This window comes from Homo sapiens, chromosome 4 (assembly GCF_000001405.40).
Source record: "Homo sapiens chromosome 4, GRCh38.p14 Primary Assembly".
Lineage (NCBI taxonomy): Eukaryota > Metazoa > Chordata > Mammalia > Primates > Hominidae > Homo > Homo sapiens.
Genome location: NC_000004.12, coordinates 120,191,568 through 120,211,129, shown reverse-complemented (window position 1 = coordinate 120,211,129; position 19,562 = coordinate 120,191,568). Strand labels below are relative to the sequence as shown.

At 38.9% G+C, this 19,562-nt stretch overlaps 1 annotated feature.

Annotated features, from left to right (window-relative positions):
- Positions 13,290–13,446: a silencer, noted in NCBI's record as "fragment chr4:121118839-121118995 (GRCh37/hg19 assembly coordinates)". NCBI's record gives its function as "represses an EF-1alpha promoter that drives an FKBP-Casp9 reporter gene in an ReSE screen in K562 erythroleukemia cells {active_cell/tissue: K562}" and the evidence as "EXISTENCE:reporter gene assay evidence [ECO:0000049][PMID:32094911]".

Sequence of the window (19,562 nt, the reverse complement as noted above, 5' to 3'; positions counted from 1 at the left end):
GAAGAAGTTATTTTTGTTTTTGATGTTGTATGTTTTTGTTTGAAGTATTTTTTTCTGTTCCTCATCATTCATTGAAAAACTTCTAGTCAACCTCAGCCTAAGAAAGTGAAGATAATTACACTTAGCTGGGCTGAAGAGAATAAGAAAAAAAATTCTATAATTTAAAAATGTTTCTCAATCACAGATCACTTCGATGAGGATTATCTGGAATATCTGTGAAAATGCAGATTACTGTGCTCTATCCCATACCCACTGAATCCTAATCTCCACTGGAATGGTCCAAGAACCTCCACATCTCATGAACAATCCAGATGATTCTCACATATTTGAATATGGAAAACTACTACCTGAGGGCAACTATTCAACTTGTATTCATATAAAAAGGCAATGTCACACTAAAGGCATTTCTTCTAACGTAAACTTTTTCTAAGATTGTGTTTTTCTTTAGTATGTTATTTCTATGTATTCTTTTTGAAGTGTACTGTTTAGTGCAGGAATATTGTTACTAATAATCCTCTCTTGATTAAAAAAATAAAAGAAAGAAGTCCCTCACTGGGTTGGTTTTATAATGGAAAAATGATGTCACTGGCAGCTCTTTTAGCATCTCTGATCTCAATATGTAATGGAAATCAAATTACTGAAAACAAAAGCCATGAAAGGGATTATAAATTAATTTTCTCTTCACTTAAATAAACAGCAAGAGAAAAATTTGTCCTGTGATTAAAAATGACATCATGCTATCTTCTACAAAATAATATCCCCCAAAGTAATTATATTTTTAAAAAATTTTATTTAGTCCTTTATTATTTAAACTACAATAGATTATTTCAAAAGATTCTTCATCTTTTAAATAAAGTTAAATATTACGGATTATACCATCTGGTGCCCAAAGTTGGAGAAATTAATGGGTTATTTGACTTTCTGCTATATTATTTCAAGCTGAAAGAAAACCACTTTATCTGTAATTAATTCCTTAGGTTAAAGAAAAAAACTAGTAAAAAAGATTGTTAAAAGCTTTACACAAAACAAAATGAGCAGAGCTTGAGCAAAGAATGATTTATAAATTGGGCAACTCTCAAAACTGGGAGTTTATTGAGCTCCACTAAGCACTGCAGGCAGGTAGTATTTATAAACAGAAAAAGGAAATGACATTCAGAAACAGCCAATGACATTCAGAAACACCACCGCGTGGTGTTTACCTTATTTGTGCATGGCGTGATGAGATATTTGCCTTATATGGACATGGTCTGATTGGGGGTTGCCAGCCTGTGATTGGCTGAAGCTCTGCTGCTGTGAGTGGCTGAAACTCAAGCTATTTGTTACAAGACTAAACTCTTAAGCTAGGTCGCAGTTGGCTATGTAGGAACTAAAAGTATGGGGGCAGCCTCAGACCAAATTTAGTTTAACAAGTGGTATGCAAGTATTTAGCAAAAATATACCTTCATCAGTTTATACTCAGGCTTCCACTTCTGTTGATTGACTGAAGAAATTACACATACCATTCCTGTTACACGAATTTGAAGAAAGTTAAAAATTCCACATTGCTCTCACTATAGTCTCTAATCATTTGCAACATAGGAAGTTTGTGATTATGACTCTGTGTGTGTGTGTGTCCATGTGTGTGTGTGTGAGAGAGAGACAGAGAGAGAGAGAGAGAGAGACAGAGACAGAGAGAGATCGTGGTGGGAACAAAGTAAGTAGGGAGGGGAGAGAGAAGTGAGTTGGAAAGGAGAAAGAAACAGATCTCTTTTCTCAAAGGAAGAAACTATTCAAAATCTGTACACTGAAAGTACTATCATCTCCTCATTCTATATGTGGTCAAAATCAAACTCTTGAATATAATGAAGTATGGACAATAGTGATATCCTAGAGCCATCCCATATGTTTGAAGACAAGGAAGAGGATCATGTGCATAGAAACTTCTCATGTGTTATCAGGGGAGCCACTCCCTGTGCTCTGCAGTGTTTCTATAGCTGGAGCATATATCACCTGCCCCCCACAAAACACACACACACACACACACACACACGTATGCACACAAAGTACACAAGCTGGGAAACAGTTATTTTAAGATCAATCGATAATTTTCTTCTTGGATTATTCCAGTGTTAGAGTCTGTGAAACTTTCTTCTCTGGCTAAATATTTGGGAACAGCTAATTTTACCCAGAGGCAGGTGAACTTAGAAAGGAGTTCCAGAAAGGCTAAAAATTTACCACTGTCTCAAACCAATAAGCTATCTTTAGAAGCAATTTAACACTAGCCCCAGACCTATATATCCCAGATATATAGCAAAGAGAAAATGCAGATGCTAACTGGACCCACATGCCTTATGAGGCAATTAAGTTGTAAGCTGATTGTTTATTGTTATTGCTGCAAGGTCTTTGAAGTTGTCTCAACCTTCCTTCATCCCTTCAACAACCCCAAGCCTCTTTTTGAATTATTTCTTCCAACACATCCCATGTTGGAAGGTTAATGTGTGATTTCTATTTTCAAATGTGCCTTCAATGCTGCATTAATCATGTTGTATTTATTTCCTTAATCTATTCACTATCTCTCCCATTCATTCAAGACAGACAATTACTGTGGCCTTCATGGAGCTTATATTCTACCATAGGAAGACAAATTAAAAATAAGTAAATTATATAATATACCAGAAAGATTTAAGTACTATAAAAACATTAAGTAAGAATGTGGAAATGAAATATATGTTTGTTGGGAGGAAACTATTTCCAAATTTAATAGTTATCTCAGGCACCTAGTTATGTCGACATCTGTGGGAAGTGGGTCAAACAGTGTGAAGGCCCTAAGGAAGAAACACATTATACATGTTCCAAAACATTAAGTGTCCAGTCAGCACGTGGGCCAGTAAGGGGTGATGCCTTAGAGGGAGCAGGGGCTGAGACCATGGAGGTCCCTGTAAGCCCATTGCAAAGCTTTGGTTCATGTTCTGAGTATGAAGGGAAGGCACTGGAGGCTTTGAACACAGGAATGATTTGATCTGACATATGCTTAAATGCTCTATTTGGCTGGTTTTATCAATAAGCAATAGAGGGACCAATGGTGAAAGCAAGGACACCAAGTAGGAGGCTACTGGAATAACCCAGGAGAAGAATAATATAGCTTGAACCAGTGAGGTAGTGGTATAAGTGGGTAAAATATGGTTGGATTTTAGGTGTATTTTGGCTCAGAATTTCATGAAGTATTGAAAATCTGTGAGAAGAGGAGTCAAAAATGCCTCCAATGTCCTTGGCCTGAGTGCTGGCTTTCTTCAAACCCAAACAAGACCAATCCACTCTCATTCTTTGTTGATGACATTACCTTCTATTTCACTGAAAATTTAGAGCACAACTAGCTTAAATTCTTACCAAATGTACGTCACTGCCTTTACCTGTGCTCATATTTCTCTGCCTTTCCTCCTGTTACTATGGATGAACTATCTGTGCTCCTAAGGCCAAACTTCGCATTGGCACAGGACGTCCCATTTCTTCGTGCTTACCTAAGAACATTGCTCCAGGTAATCTGTTCTTTCTCTCTCATCATTTTTTTCCCCCGTTTTTACATGATCTATCTCTTTCACATTCTTTTACCATTTTGATTCCCTCTCTCCCACCAGAGCCTCATTTCTTCCCTCTGGAAACCTATTTATTTACTCTCTTCAGCCCTCTTCTAAAACAGTTGTGCGCATTCATTGTTGGATTCTTCTTTCTCTCACCATTTCATGAACCCACTTCAATTATGTTTCCCCTCTACCACTCCATTGAAACTACTTCTATCAAGGTCCCCAGTTTCTTCCATTTCACTAAGTCCAAGGTCAACTTTCAGTCCATATTCCTCTGATATAACAAGTAAGCATTTCATAATTGGTAACTTCCTCCTTATTGGACCACTGCCTTCAACTGAATCATAACACCATACTCTCCTGATTTTCAAGCTGCTTGATGTCACAATGAATCCTTTCATTATCTGCTGGAACAATGACCCAAACTTAAAGCTATATATAGCTTTGATTTTTTTTTTTTTTTGAGAAGGAGTCTTGCTCTGTCACCCAGGCTGGAGCGCAGTAGCGTGATCTGGGCTCACTGCAAGCTCCGCCTCCCAGGTTCAGGCCATTCTCCTGCCTCAGCCTCCTGAGTAGCTGGGACTACAGGCGCCCGCCACCATGCCCGGCTAATTTTTGTATTTTATTTAGTAGAGACGGGGTTTCACCGTGCTAGCCAGGATGGTCTCAATCTCCTGACCTTGTAATCCACCCGTCTCGGCCTCCTAAAGTGCTGGGATTACAGGCGTGAGCCACTGCACCCAGCTTATAGCTCTGATTTTTACTGGGACTTTTATTTTGCCTCCTGGTAAGGGAAGGGAACAAAAACTTCTAGACCCATGAAGCTTAAAGTTGTAAAGATGGATATACAAATTCCTCCCAGTTGAGTCACTGAGGATAACGTGAGCAAAACGACTCCTATTTTCATTTTTTGGTTGCATCCAGGACAGCTCCTCTCCTTCATAAGGTGTTGACTCCAACTGTGCTACTCAGCAATTCCTCCAAGATGTTGATCCATAATTTATTTGGCTTCTGGGTGGTACAGGAGGTCATAGGACCATTGCAAATCATGATCCTCACTTTTTAGTCTACTTGTTCCTCTTTTGCTTTTTGATATCTTAATATTAAGGCATCTTTGAGATTCTTCTCAGTCCTTACATCTCTTTATCTACACCCTAGTCATTATAACCAGTCTCATGGCTTTACATACTATATTCTTTTCCAGATTCACATCTCAAGCTTAGACCTTTGCACTTAAATTTATATATCCAGGCTTGGATATATCTAAAGACATCTGAAATGTAATATGTAAAAAACTGAGTTTAGATGTTCCCTACTACCGCCAACAAAACAACAAGAGAAACAATCTGCTTAAAAAAAACACTCTCAGTTGACAGCCACCACATCCTTCATGACAAAAATCTGAGTCCTTGATTCCTCTTTCTTTCACATACTACATCTAATGTATTAGCAAATCCATGTAGATCCATCCCCAAAAATATATCTATAATCTGCCTAGTTCCTTTCAAGCTCACTACTACTACTCCTTAGATCCAAGTCACTGTCATCTGTCACATGGATTAGATAGCTTTCCAACTAATTTTTCAACTTCCACCCTCTTCCTCTTCAGTCTATTCTCAACATAGCAGCCAGAGTGGATTTGTAAGTCAGATCATTTTTCTCTGTTCAGAGTAAAATTCAAAGTCTTTACATTCAGTGCACAAGTCAAATCAGCCCCTTTTACTCTTCCATTAATGATGCCTGGTATGCTTCCTATCTCAGAGCCTACCTATCTGACATTCTCTAAGCCTGGATCACTCCTCTCTCAGATATCCTCATCACTAGCTCCCTCAGATCCTCAGATGTTTACTGAAATGTCTTCTTCTTAGTGAGGCTTTCGCTGACCACCATACTTAAAATTACCAGCTTTCTCCCCACAAATTCCCAATCCTACTCCGTTGGTTTTTCTCCATAGCACTTATTGCTAACATTCTACATATTTTACTATATTTTTACACTCTACATGTTTGTTTTTTTTAAACTAGAATGTAAGTTTCCTGAGGGCAGGTTATTTGCCTGTTTTGTTCCTTTCTGTATCTTTTATTCCTAGAAGAGAGACTGTATAGTAACTGTTCAATGTATGTTTGTTCAATGGATAAATATTGTTTGTTCAGTGGATAAATAATAAAATACCCTCCCCGAGAAATCAAATGAGGGTTTAGTTTTCTTACACCTCACCCACTACATTCCCTAATATCTTCCTCCCATTGAGTAATATTAAGCATATCATTAACTAACTAATCATTACTAACATTACTGTGACTATCTTAAAACCATTCACTACAGAGACCAACAGTGCACTATGACTGTGTTTCCCTTTTTGTTCAATACTGGAATTTTTGCTGGAGTAAATTACTTATTGTTTCTTCAATTTTCTTACTTATAAAAATATACTAACTAATACCAATTTGTTACCTTCTGCAATGCATCTGTCAAGCACCTATCCATATTATCATCTGAATGCTCACATAAATCAATGATCTATCATTGCTTTGTCTCTTTTTCATTTCCCTAAGATCTGCTCCCCAAAGTCTTATCTTCTTGCTCCAATTTGAACAGAATATTTCCTGAGCCTGTTGCTCAGCTGTCATTCTAGAATTACCTACAGTCTTCATCTTAGTTTTGGTTTACCACTTTGTGGTTTGGAATCTCCTGTTTTCCTGATAACCTATCTTCTTTCATCTTTGTTAACTTTATCATTTTGCTGGAGTCAATCCTTCAATAATTTCCTATGCTAAAATTCAATGGGAGGTTTAATCCTTGCATGCAATTGTTCTATTCTTATACTTGATTGGGAGTTTCGCTGGGTAAAGAATTACAAGATGAAAATGCTTTTCTATCCAAATTATGACATCATAACTCACTCTCTTCTATCTTCTCAATGATACTGTTAATGACATTATGATTCCCTATTCTTTGTATGCCTACCTGACTGTTTACTTTGGAAATATTCAGTAGATACTTTAGTCTGTATTCTAAAATTTCACAATTATGTGCTTTGGTGTCATTTATTATTATTATTTTATTTACATAATGAAGCTTTCCACCGACCCTTTAATTTGAAAAGTCAAGTCCTTCATTTCTGGAAGTATTTTTCTATTTCCTGTTTGAATAATTCTTCTCATCTGTTTTCTTTGATCGTCCTTACTAAAATTTTTATCACACCATTAGATTTCTTGGTGTTTTGTATTCTTCTATGAGATGGTCAGTCAAGAGAAGACAGGAAAGAGGTTCAGGAAAACAAAGTTTATTACACCAAGAGGTCTTAAACACAAGAGGCGCAACATGAGAAATACACCAGTGCAGCCAGATGGAAGAAGACAGAATCAAGGGGGAGGTCTAGGCCCGAGTCTTTATTATGGTTTCATGGGGAAATGCAAGGCAGGGTGAACAATTTAGGATTGGATAGTGAGACAATGCAGGGAACCCTACTTAGGGGAATGCAGCTCCCCTCCCTGCACAAAGCATGGAAATAAAAGAAAATCGTGAGTTCTTTCAAGTGAAATTCCAAGCACCTAGCTAGCCCTGAGAACTAAGTAAGCAACTTGATAAACTAGAACGTAATAGTAGCCTGAAACAGTAGCCAAGGAAGCTAGAATTGTTAGAGTAGATAGTCAGACATAAGCAGAACAGGGGAGAGGCCCTACCTCTCCCCTTTTTCCCCCACCAATAGGAATAGGAATGTCAGGCAACCATCAGGTAATGGTCAGGCAATTGTTAAATTGTCTCTCTAAAATAGTAATTGGTTGCAGCCAGCACCAGGGAAAGGCAGTCTCCCAACAGATTAAAAAAAAACAAAACAAACAAAAAAACACCTGAAACTGCTGAGCAGCAGCTTCCTGAAAAGATCTCAGGAGTTGGGTGAGTGGGCTCAAGCATGCACACTAAGATGCAAAATGGCAGAGTTTATCTGGTATATGAACTTCCTCCAGGAATACTTGACTGGTAAAGGAAAAACAACTCAAGTGAGCATGTGTAAAACTCCAGTAAACACACTGTGCATGCAGCCCCTCCCAAGTGTTGGTAGGCCACTATTCATGCGACAGCCCACCTCAAGGGAAGAATCAGGGAAGAAGTAATGCAAGACCCCAGAAACACGCCAACGCATAAAGCCCCAAGTCAAAGGTCAAACAGCATGCTTGAAGCTCTCAAGTCACCTGCTTGACCCACTTACAAGTATACTTTCCTTCCTTTCGTTTCTGCTCTAAAACTTTTTGATAAATGTTTACTCCTGCTCTAAAACTTGCCTTGGTCTCTCATTCTGCCTTATGCCCCTTGGCTGAATTCTTTCTTCTGAGGAGGCAAGAAATCAGGTTACTGCAGACCTGTAAGGATTCACCACTGCTAACACAATCAGCAGATGCTTGGTTTCCCTATATGGAGTAAAGATAGCATCTTCAAGTATGTCTCTGAGTTGTTTTCAGAAACCCCAACCTCCGTTAAACAGATCTAATGGCACATGGGCCTCAGATAAGGGGGAATGGGGGACTGAACTCTGACCAACATTCTTTGTTTTAAATTTCCTCCTGAGGTGCCTGGAGAAAGTCACACCCATGAGCCAGGCTAACATTCGTTTCTGCTGACCCTAATTTTTTAAACAAAGCTTTTCTTCCTAAACAAATTGAAAATCAGAAAATATTTGAATCTACCTACGACCTGTAAGCCCCAGCTTCAAGATATCCCACCCTTTTAGGCCAAAACCAATGTGTAACTTCCACGTTTTGATTTACAACTGTGCTTGTAACTTCTGCTTTCTGAAACTTACCCTTGCCTTTAAAAACCCTTACCTTAAGCCATCAGAGAGGCCAGGATTTAAGCATTAGCTGCCAGATCCTCCTTGTTAGGCACCCTACAAAGAAGCACTTTCCTGTATCTGGCTGCAAACCTCAGTGTGACTATCTGGTCTTACTGCACTGGGCGGATGAATCCCAGTTCAGTTCCATACCTATAGCGTGAATAATTTCTGTGGACTCTAAACTATAGAGGTGGTCCCTAGTTGCCTGGTATCTGTTCCTGGGATTATTAAAGCAGAGGAATATTGACTTCTGAGGGCCTCAGGCCAAATAGAGGAGGTATGACTCTGGATTGGTTAGTCTGCATAACAAAGACATGTTCCTGGTTGAGCCCTTTGCTGTCTCTAATTGGCTAGCCCCAGGAAAGGCAGTATCTCCCAGGCAGAAAGGTTGGGGTTTTCTTTGGAGGGGGGGGAGGGTTTTTTTTAAGATGTCAAAATATAATATAGAAAAAAAATATATATATATATATGTACTCTCTCTCTCTATCTATCTGTCTATCTATACCTGGTCTGATCTTTTAATATTCTGATATTCTCTCATCTGTTTTCTGCCTCTTTTTCTTTTCCATTTCTCTTTCTGGGGGAATATCTGCCATTATTTTCCAAAATTTCTGGCACTCAATTTTAATTTTCAAAGTGTTTTTACTGGTTATTTTTTATTTTCATGGCTTCAGATCTTGATTTATGGATAAAATACATTATGGGGATAGTAATTCAAGTTTTCCTTATTTATCCCAGATCTACTCTTCTATTTGTTTGTTTTGATCTCTTTGTCTCAGTGGAGGCTCTCCTAGAATATATGGTTATCTTTGTTTGCTCATTCGTATTTAAAAGTAAAGCATTAAGAACCTACTGGAAGTACTGTATTTGGAGTATTTGGAGGTGGTGATTGTTCACTTGGGGCTTCACTGTAAGATCTTAATGTGAAGCCATTTTTTTTCCTTTCTTTACTTCAGGGGTCCTTCTATGTCAGCATTTAAAGGCTGTTTTTTCTGTGATTATTAAAAGAAGATGCCTACTCTTTCTTACCTTGGGGGACATAGACCCTATTGCCACCTGATATTTTGAAATTTTATTAGTAAGAAAAAAGGGCTGATGTTCCCACTTTCAGACTGGCTCTTAATTCCCATTTTTAGAGATGTCATTTGGCCCTGCAGTATCTACTGTGGTTAATGTTTCTTCAACAACCAATCCGGATGAAGCCACTCAATCACTATAAACTTTCCTCTTAATACTGCTTTTGCTGTATCCCAGAGGTTTTGGTATGTTGTATTTCCATTATCATTTGTTTCAAGAATGTTTCAATTTCCTTCTTAATTTCTTCATTCACCTACTGTTTGCTCATTCATGAGCAAATTGCTTAATTGTTGTGTGTTTGTATAGTTTCCAAAGTTCCTCATTACTGATTTCTAGTTTTATTCCCTTGTGGTCAGAGAAGATATTTGATGTTATTTACATTATTTTTTAATGTTTTAAGACTTGTTTTGTCAGTGAGAACACATGGACACAGGAAGGGGAACATCACACTCTGGGGACTGTTGTGGGGTGGGGGGAGGGGGGAGGGATAGCATTAGGAGATATATCTAATGCTAAATGACGAGTTAATGGGTGTCGCACACCAGCATGGCACATGTATACATATGTAACTAACCTGCACATTGTGCACATGTACCCTAAAACTTAAAGTATAATAATAATAAAATAAAAAAAAAAATACACAGGAAAGTTATCACGGGTTACATACAGGGAAGGCAATTCGGCTAGATGCAGTGCTGCAATGGGCTTGTAATCTTGTTAAGACTATTGTTTCCAACACATGGGACACAATAGAAAGCAATTTACAACAGGCTAGGTCTGGTTGGTATAATGATGCAGGGGAAACACAAAAGAATAAAAAAAAAAAAAAAAAAAAAAAAAAAAAAAAGACTTGTTTTGTGACCTAACATGTGATCTATCCTTGACAATGATCCATGTACTAAGGAGAAAATGTGTATTGTGAAGCTGTTAGATGAAGTGTACTGTAAGTTTCTATTAGGTTCATTTGTTTTATAGTGCAGATTAAGTCTGATGTTTCTTTGTTCATTTTCCGTCTGGGAGATCTGTCTGATACTGAAAGTCGGGTATTGAATCTGCAACTATTATTGCATTGGGATCTATTTCTCTCTTTAGCTCTAAAAATATTTGCTTTATATGTCTGGGTGCTCAATTGCCGGGTGCATATACATTTAAAATTGTCATGTCCCTTTGCTTAATTGACCCCTTTATAATTATATAATGACCTATGTTGTCTCTTATTGTTCTGGTCTTAAAATCTATTTTGTCTGATATAAGTATATCTGTTCCTGCTTTTTTTTGTGTGTATTGGCCTGGAATGTCTTTTTCCATGCCTTTATTTGTAGTCTATGTGCCTCTTTAGAGGTGAAGTGTGTTTCTTGTAAGCAATAAATAATTGAATCATGTTTATGCATCTATTCAGCCACTCTATGTCTTTTGATTGCAGATTTTGGACCATTTACATTCAACGTTATTATTGAAAGACAGGGACTTACTCCTGTTATTTTATCATTTGTTTTCTGGTTGTTTTGTGGTCTTCTCTCTCTTCTTTTCTTCCTTCCTACTTCCTATCTTCGTTTTAGTAAAGGCGATTTTCTCTGGTGGTATGCTTTAATTTCTTGCTTTTTATTTTTTGTGTAATAAAAACTCTACATTTTGACTTCATCTCCCCTACTTTTTAACTGTTGTTTCTCCTTGTGTCTTATTGTACTGTCTATGTCTTGAAAAGTTGTTGTAGTTATTATTTTTGATTGGTTCATCATTTAGTCTTTCTACTTACATCAAGATGTTTACATACTGAAATTACACTGTTATACTATTCGTGTTTTCCTGTGTGCTTACTATTTCCAGTAAGTTTTGTACCTTCACATGATTTCTTATTGTTCAACCTTTTTTTTCAGATTGAAGAACTCCATTTAGCATTTTTTTGTAGAACATGTCTGGTGTTGATGAAATCCCTGTTTTGTTTGTCTGAGATCTTTATTTCTTTCATGCTTAAAGGATATTTTCACCAGATATACTATTCTAGGGAAAAGTTTTTTCTTTCGGCAATTTAAATACATCATGCCACCCTCTCGCGGCCTGTAAGATTTCCACTGAAAACTCTGTTGCCATATGTATTAGAGCTCTGTTGTATGTTGTTTGTTTTTTCTTCCTGCTTGAAAAATCCTTCTTTATCCTTGACTTTTGGGAGTTTGATTATTAAATGCCTTGAGGTAGTCTTCTTTGGCTTAAATCTACGTGGTGTTCTGAAACCTTCTTATATTTGAATGTTGATATCTTTCTCTAGGTTTGGGAAGTTCTCTGACATTATCCCTTTGAATAATCTTTCTACCCTCATATCTTTCTCTTTCTTCTCTTTAGGGCCAAAAACTCTTAGAATTGCCCTTTCGAGGCTATTTTCTAGATTCTGCAGGTGTGCTTCATTGTTTTTTTTGTCTTTCTCTCTCTCTTTTTTTTTTGTCTCCTCTGACTGTGTATTCCCAAATATCCTGTGTTTAAGGTCACTAATTCTTCTGCTTGATCAATTCTGCTACTAAAAGACTCTGATGTATTATTCAGCATGGCAACTGCATTTTTCAACTTTAGAATCTCTGCTTGACACTTCTGAATTATTTCAGTCACTTTGTTAAATTTATCTGATAGAATTCTGAATTGTTTACTCTGTGTTATCTTGAATTTCTTTCAGTTTCCTCAAAATGCTATTTTGAATTCTGTCTCCAAATGGTCTAAACAAATTCTGTTTCTCCAAGATTGGCCTCTCAGTGCCTTATTTAGTTCATTGAGTGAGGTCATGTTTTCCTGGATGGTGTTAATGGTTGTACATGTTCTTTGGTGTCTGGGCATTGAAGAGTTGGGTATTTACTGCAGCCTTCACAGTCTGGGCTTGTTTCTGCCTGTCCTTCTTGGGAAGGCTTTCCAGGTATTGAAGGGACTTGGGCCCCAAGCCCAAGAACGCTGTGGTTTTTGCAGACTCATAGAGATACCATTTGGTGGTCTTGGATAAGATCCGAGAGAATTCTCTAAATTACCAGACAGATTCTTGTTATTTTCCTTTACTTTCTCCCAAACATACAGAGTCTCTGTGTGCTGAACCACCTGGCACTGGGAATGTAGTGATGCAATCACCCCTGTGGTCCCCACCACTGGAACTTCACTGGATCAGACCAGAAGCCAGCACAGCACTGGGCCTTGTCCAAGGCCCTTCCCTTCAGGGTGGCAGGTTCCTCCAGGCCTTAGGCATGCCCAGAAATGCTGTCTGGGAGCTGGACATTCAAGTCAAAACCCTTACCAATTTACCTGATGTTCTATTCTACTGAGGCCAAGATGGCATGCAAACCACAATATAAAGTCCTTCCTGCTCTTCTGTCTTCATTCCACAGGCAGAAGAGCATCTCCCTGTGGTCACAACTATCCCCAGTGCATGGAGGTGGGGCATTCTGCCAGGCCATCACCAATGTTTGCTTAAAGGCCAAGAGCTCCTCTGTCAGCTTGTGGTGAATGCTGATAGACCTTGGACTCACCCTTCAAGGTAGTGGGATGCCCTCTGACCCAGAGAAGATCCAGTAATGTATCCAAGATCCTAGTCTGTACGCAGTGCCCCCAGGAGCCTGGTTGTTCCTCTACCCCACTATGGCCAAGTTGGTAGCTAGGATGCAAAACAAAGTCCCCTTTACTTTTCCTTCTGCTTTTCTCAAACAGAAGAAGTCTTTTGCCATAGCCACCAGAGCTGGGAATGTGCTGGGGCTCCCTTGAAGCCAGTATATCTCTGAACTTGAGGCTCAAGGCATGCTCCCTGGCTATTGCTGGTAGTTATCCAGGGCCCATGAGCTCTTCAGTAAGCACTTCATCAATCCTGCCAGGACCAGGTCTTTCTCTTCAAGGCAGTGGATTACCTTTTGGCCCAGGGTGTGTCTAGAAATGCCATTCAGGAGCTAGGGACTGGAATGGGGTCCTCATGACTATGCCCAGTGTCCTATTCTACTGTGGCTGAGCTGGCATCCAACAGGCAAGACAGAGTTTCTCTATTCTTCACTCTTCCCTCCTTAAGCAGAAAAATGAGTTCACTTTTGTTCGTACAAGCTGCACTGCCTGGGGTTGGGGGAGGAATGACACAAGCCCTCCCTTAGCCATGCCAGCTGGTGTCTCCCTAGGTCATGTGCTACTCTAATTCACCAGCTCTAAGCCCAGTCTAGCACTGGGAGTTGCCTAGGAATTAGAGTCCTTTTATCCTAGACTGCCTTTCAAGTTTATCTAGGACCCCAGAGCACTTCAGCCCACGATGACAAGGCCTCCTGAGAAACTCAAGTTTCGACCACTGGGAGAGCAATTTACCTCTTGCTAGGGTTGGTCCAAATATTCCCTCCATGTGCGGATGAGCGCATGCTGACTGAGCACAGCACAGCTTTATTCTCCACTATAACATGGCAGCGCTGAGTTCAGTGTAAAATCCCCCAGTGCCTGTACTTTCTCTCCCCAAAGTGCACAGATTCTCTCTCCACACTGCAGGCCTACTGCCAAGAGATTAGAAAGGGATATGTTGGTGCTTCAAGACTGTCTGTCCTGTTTTCCTGAATGCTTCTTTCCACAATGTGAAATTAAAACCAGGTACTGTGATTGCTCACCTGATTTTTGTTTCTTGTGACAGTGCTTTTCTGTGTACAGATGGTTGTTAAAATTTGGTGTCCCAGTGGCAAGGATGAATGGTGTAGGCTTCTATTCTTCCATCTTGCTTTGCCTCCACCTTTCCTTAGATTTGATTCAAAACAGGCACACGTTTTGAAACTGTTAGATTTGTTCATTTGTGGAACCAACAACCAAAGAAAATTAGCCCTAAATTTTTTAAATTGCTCAATTCTATCATTTCCACTATTATGTACCATTGCACCATTAGTCTCTCAAAGAAAGTCTTATTTGAATGATTTCCAAGAGTTCAAAAATGGGCCTGAGATGGTGATGTCAAGTATTTCATAATAGTGAATTAATTCTCATCTTAAAAAATACAGAATCTACTATTTTATTCCAAAATTAGAAGCAGAAGTCAATTTTGCTCCAGGGTACCATAGGAATTCATATCAGTACATCAGGTTGTCAACAATCTCACACTTCGTCTATCATATTTGGGGGAAAGTCCTCAGGTTTAAAATTCCCTTGTTGAAGAAGGTAATTTTCCTGCAGTGAAGAGTCTGGATGGTGTATTAGTCAGGGTTCTTCACAGGGGGTCAGAACCAATAGTATTAGTCAGGGTTCTTCACGGGGGGTCAGAACCAATAGGAAATATGTCTACATCAAAGGGAGTTTATTAGGAGGAATTGGTTCACATGATTAGAAGGCAAAGTCCCACAGTAGGCTGTCTGCAAGCTGAGGAAGAGAGAAGTTGGTAGTGGCTTAGTCCAAGTCTGAAAGCTTCGACACCAGGAAGTTGACAGTTCCCTGTGAAGCCAACAGTGCAGCCTTCAGTCTGTGGCCAAAGGCCCAAGAGGCTCCTGGAAGCCATTGGTGCAAGTCCCAGACTCCAAAGACAGAAGAACCTGGAGTCTGATGTCTAAGGGCAGGAAGAGTGGAAGCAAGCATCCAGTATGGGAAGAAGAAAGAGAGTCAGAAAGAGCCACACTTATTCCTCTTCTTCCCTCTGTTTTGTTGTAGCTGTGCTGGCAGCCTTTGGAAGGTGCTCTGAGGGTGGGTCTTTGTCTCCCAGTCCACAGACTCAAATGTCAGTCTCCTCTGGCAACAGCCTCACAGACACACCCAGTTCTTTACCAGCCACCTATGCATCCCTCAACCCAATCAAGTTGACACCTCATATTAACCATCACAGATGGTCATATGTTTACTATGTGAAATGAGTATACAAAATAGATCCAAGAAAAAAAAATTGTCTTTGATTAGGAAAGCTTTGGAAAGGGCTCTTCTTTTCTTGGTCTTTGTTTATTATTTATCATTTTATAAGAAATAAATGGATGAGTAAAATTGAAATGTAAACTTATTCAAGGAAGTCTCTGTTTTTAGGTATTTGCCTGGGTTTTGTTAATGAATATTTTGAACTAACAGAGACATTTTTGTGGTGATTATTTCCAGAATTTCCCCTGAATTACAAACAACCTTGCTTAGACCTTGACTTGAAGACATCTATGTGTAACTTGCCTTCAATATATGAGGTTCATACTTTGCCTATTTCATTAGTACATGATAATGCTATTCTTTTGTGAGACAGAAATCTTGAGTTCATTACAAGATACATGCTTAATAAATTAATAATAAGATCACTTGGGAATTATACTCAATGCTGAAGTCTTATATTTTAATAATGTAAATCATGTACTTGGCATGCTTTCATATAATCAGGTCTTAATCAGGCATGAAAAGAATAAATACCTAATTTGAAGGCTGATTTTTGAGCCACAGATGTATTTGTGTAATGCTCACAGCCTGATTTGAACACCTACCTATGAAATGACAGAGAATCATTGAAGTAGATTTCTTTGTTTCACCTTGAAGCTTTTCAGAATGTATAACTTTGACAATCATAAGAGAAAAAGAAACTGAGTTTGATTTGTGACTTTTATGTTATAGTTAAATAGCAACATGGTTCTTGAGTTCACTGGGGACTTGTAGGCCACTCTATCACTTTCCCATGCTGTCTGACATCTTAAAGGAAAGACAAAGAGTAGATGAAAGAAAGTACATGAACCGAGAACTCCAAGGAGAGTACCAAACGATGTTGACTTTCAAGGAAGGTGAAATATTATTTCTATGTAGATTTTTCTGATAAAATTCTGCCTTTCTAGTAACTCAGCACTTGATCGAGTAATCTGTCATTGTGCCCCCACAGTGATATTTTACCCAAATGCAGTGTATCATAAGAAAAACTAATTAATTTTGACTTCTCTGCATCTGTCCCCAGAAGACTCAGGTCTCTTGTTTGCATGGAATAATTAAAGAAAAATAAAATTTCCCCAAAGAGAAGAACTTTTGGTTCTGTTACTGTAAAACATAGAAATAAAATAATTTGTTACCTTGGAAAGAAATGAACTGCAAACTCTTTCCATCTGTTTATTTAGGAGGGAAGGCAGGTTACTTCATGCTCACTGCCATACATGATTAGCTTTTTTGCTCTGGCTTCTGCAGTATGGAGGATTATTCATCTATCAACAGCTTCACACACCAGGCCTGGCTATGCCTATCCTTACTACAGGATGGGCAAGTCATGTATGATGCCCAGAGTTGTAGGCAATAATGTTATCTAACCAGGCAAATTTGTTACATGTTAGCTGCAGCTCAGAGGGAGACATGAAAATTTAAACCTCCTAGGCAAGAGGCAATCACTGAATCTCCAGCCCAAAGCTTGACATGTCATCCCCAATCAATCAGTTGTAAGGGATCACAGAATATTTTCTAGGCTTTTATTCTGGAAGAGGTTAGAGACTGAGTATTACTTGAAGAAACCAGAGCTTATCACAAATTCCATCAACATCACTTTTGCAAGTAGGATAACAAATGAGTAAACTTTGTCATGGGTGGCCAAAGTCTCGTTAATTGGACAGAGGACTTACAGGTTGGGTAAAAGATAAATAATTATTCAAATTAGAAGCAGTTTCATAAAATTAACATTGACTTTGTAAAAAATACCTTTGAAAAGCTCTAATCCACTTTCACCAAGTCTCATGAATTGCAGGACTTTCTGGAATTGTTAATTTAAGATAATTGCAGCACTTTGGGAGGCCGAGGCAGGTGGATCACAAGGTCAGGAGATCGAGACCATCCTGGCTAACACAGTGAAACCCTGTCTCTACTAAAACTACAAAAAATTAGCCGGGCGTGGTGGCACATGCCTGTAATCCCAGATACTCAGGAGGCTGAGGCAGGAGAATCATTTGAACCTGGGATACAGAGGTTTCAATGAGCCAAGATCAAGCCACTGCACTCCAGCCTGGGCAACAGAGCAAGATTCTGTCTCAAAAAAAGATAATAGGAAAGGTTTATGAAACTAATGTCTTTGATTTACTTTTTATGCTATAAATAAAATGTATACAAAACAAACTTATCACTCACATTCAGAATGATTGGCAAGAGTGAATACAGAAGGATTAAAAATAAAATTACCCTGCACGTTTCAAAAGAATAAAAAGAATTTTTAAAACATGTTAAGCATTCTTATTGAGACTGGCAATGACTTGGGATAATCAGTTTTGACTTGAAAACAGATAGCAGGTTAGCAATTTTTTGTCTTCACATTCTGAAACTCATAAAGAGAAATGTGAGATCTCTGAATGACGAAATTTTATCATTTCAGTCAAATCATACTTGAGAAAAAATATAGTGCTTTTGATATTGCTGTGAACAGCTGAATTACAGGAAAGTTTGGTATTAAAATTCTCTTTCTTCTATATGTCACTTTTCCTTCATAGCTTAAACATGAAATAAATTTCCAGGCCTTCAAATAATTGAACAAAACATCATATGTCTTGCTTAGTGGACAGTGTTTTCGGTTTTTCTGTTCTTAATTTTAGCTGCATTTTATCAGGTGGGGCCTCATACCTGTGGAACCTCATTCGTTTGCTTTTGCTCACAGAACCAAGGACCCACTAAATGAATGTAGAAGGGAAACTAGAAATCAATGTTGGCAATATATAAACCAAGCACAGTTACAGGATATGTTAACTTCCAAAGACAAAAAATTGAAGAAAAGCCATGAGAATTTTTGGCTATCTGCCTATTTGGGAGATATGACAGGGAATATAACACATTCTACCTATATTCTTTTGTTTTGGGATTTAACATTAAATTCTGTACTCTTTTTTTTTTTTTGATAAGGAGTCTTGCTTGTTCTATCGCCCAGGCTGGAGTACAAGGACGCAATCTTGGCTCACTGCAACCTCTGCCTCCTGGGTTCAAGCGATTCTCCTGCCTCAGCCTCCCGAGTAGCTGGGATTACAGGCACCCACCACCGCACCTGGATAATTTTTGTATTTTCAGTAAAGATGGGGTTTCACCATGTTGGCCAGGCTGGTTTTGAACCCCTGACCTCAGGTGATCTGCCTGCCTCAGCCTCCCAAAGTGCTGGGATTACAGGCGTGAGCCACTGTGCCCGGACTTAAATTCTGTACTCTTAAGTAAAATGTTTCCAAGGCATTTTCCTGTGGATTTTGGAGTGTGCCTCAACTCACCATAAGCTGAGTGTACAACCATTCAACAAGGTACAGGGGCAGATACAGCTGTGCTATGTTAAGGTAATATACTAAGCTGAGGGATTATTTGTGGTCCCATTACTTTTTAACCCATTCACAGATAAGAGAAGGCCCAGTCTAGCTCCAGGATAGAATTTTTAAAACATTGTGCAGAGAGGAGTAAAAAAATAGAGCCTGTTTTCAGCTTCTGCCTTTCAAAATTGATATTGGAAACACAAAATGGGGCAATTATGTTAAAGTTTTTGAATCTCAGAAGGCTAGATGCTGAGGAAATCAAAGCATAAAATTAATGTCAAAAGAACATATTTGGAAGAATTTAAAAAATATAAGAGCAAGTTTTTACTACTCCAGTGATGAAAAAAAAATTCCTCTGAACTGGAAGTGAAGCATCAGTGAGGAAAACGGTCATGTGTGAGGGGGTGCTGTGGGCTCTGAGAAGAGGTTAGAGTGGGCAGCAGATCCCTTTCCAGGTTTGGGGTCCAAAAGTCGAGGACCCCTCGTGATCCCTGGAGATGGCAGCCCTGCAAGACTCCACCCACTACAGTGTGCAAGCTTCAGCATAAAGATGGCTGCATGCATGACAGTGCTAGAGAGTTTCTCATAATCCCAGTGGGGTATAGTAGAGCAAGTAAACATTCACAAACCTCCAAACAGAGTGGAATTTAGATAAGAAAGAGTTGGTGAGCTTGGAGAGGCCTCATAGTACAGATGACAGGTCTGTAGAAACAAACACAGCCATCACCAAAGATGAAACAGGGAACTGAAGTCCAGCACATCATCATGGTGAGTCAACAGTGACTGTGGACTAGAGGAGACATTTCAGCAGATGCAAGCATGGAGCAGTGCCACACAAGGCCCACAACACTCTGTTTTTATGCTCTGTGATCCTCCAGAATTTAGATATAACCTAGGACAAGGGGAAGAGGG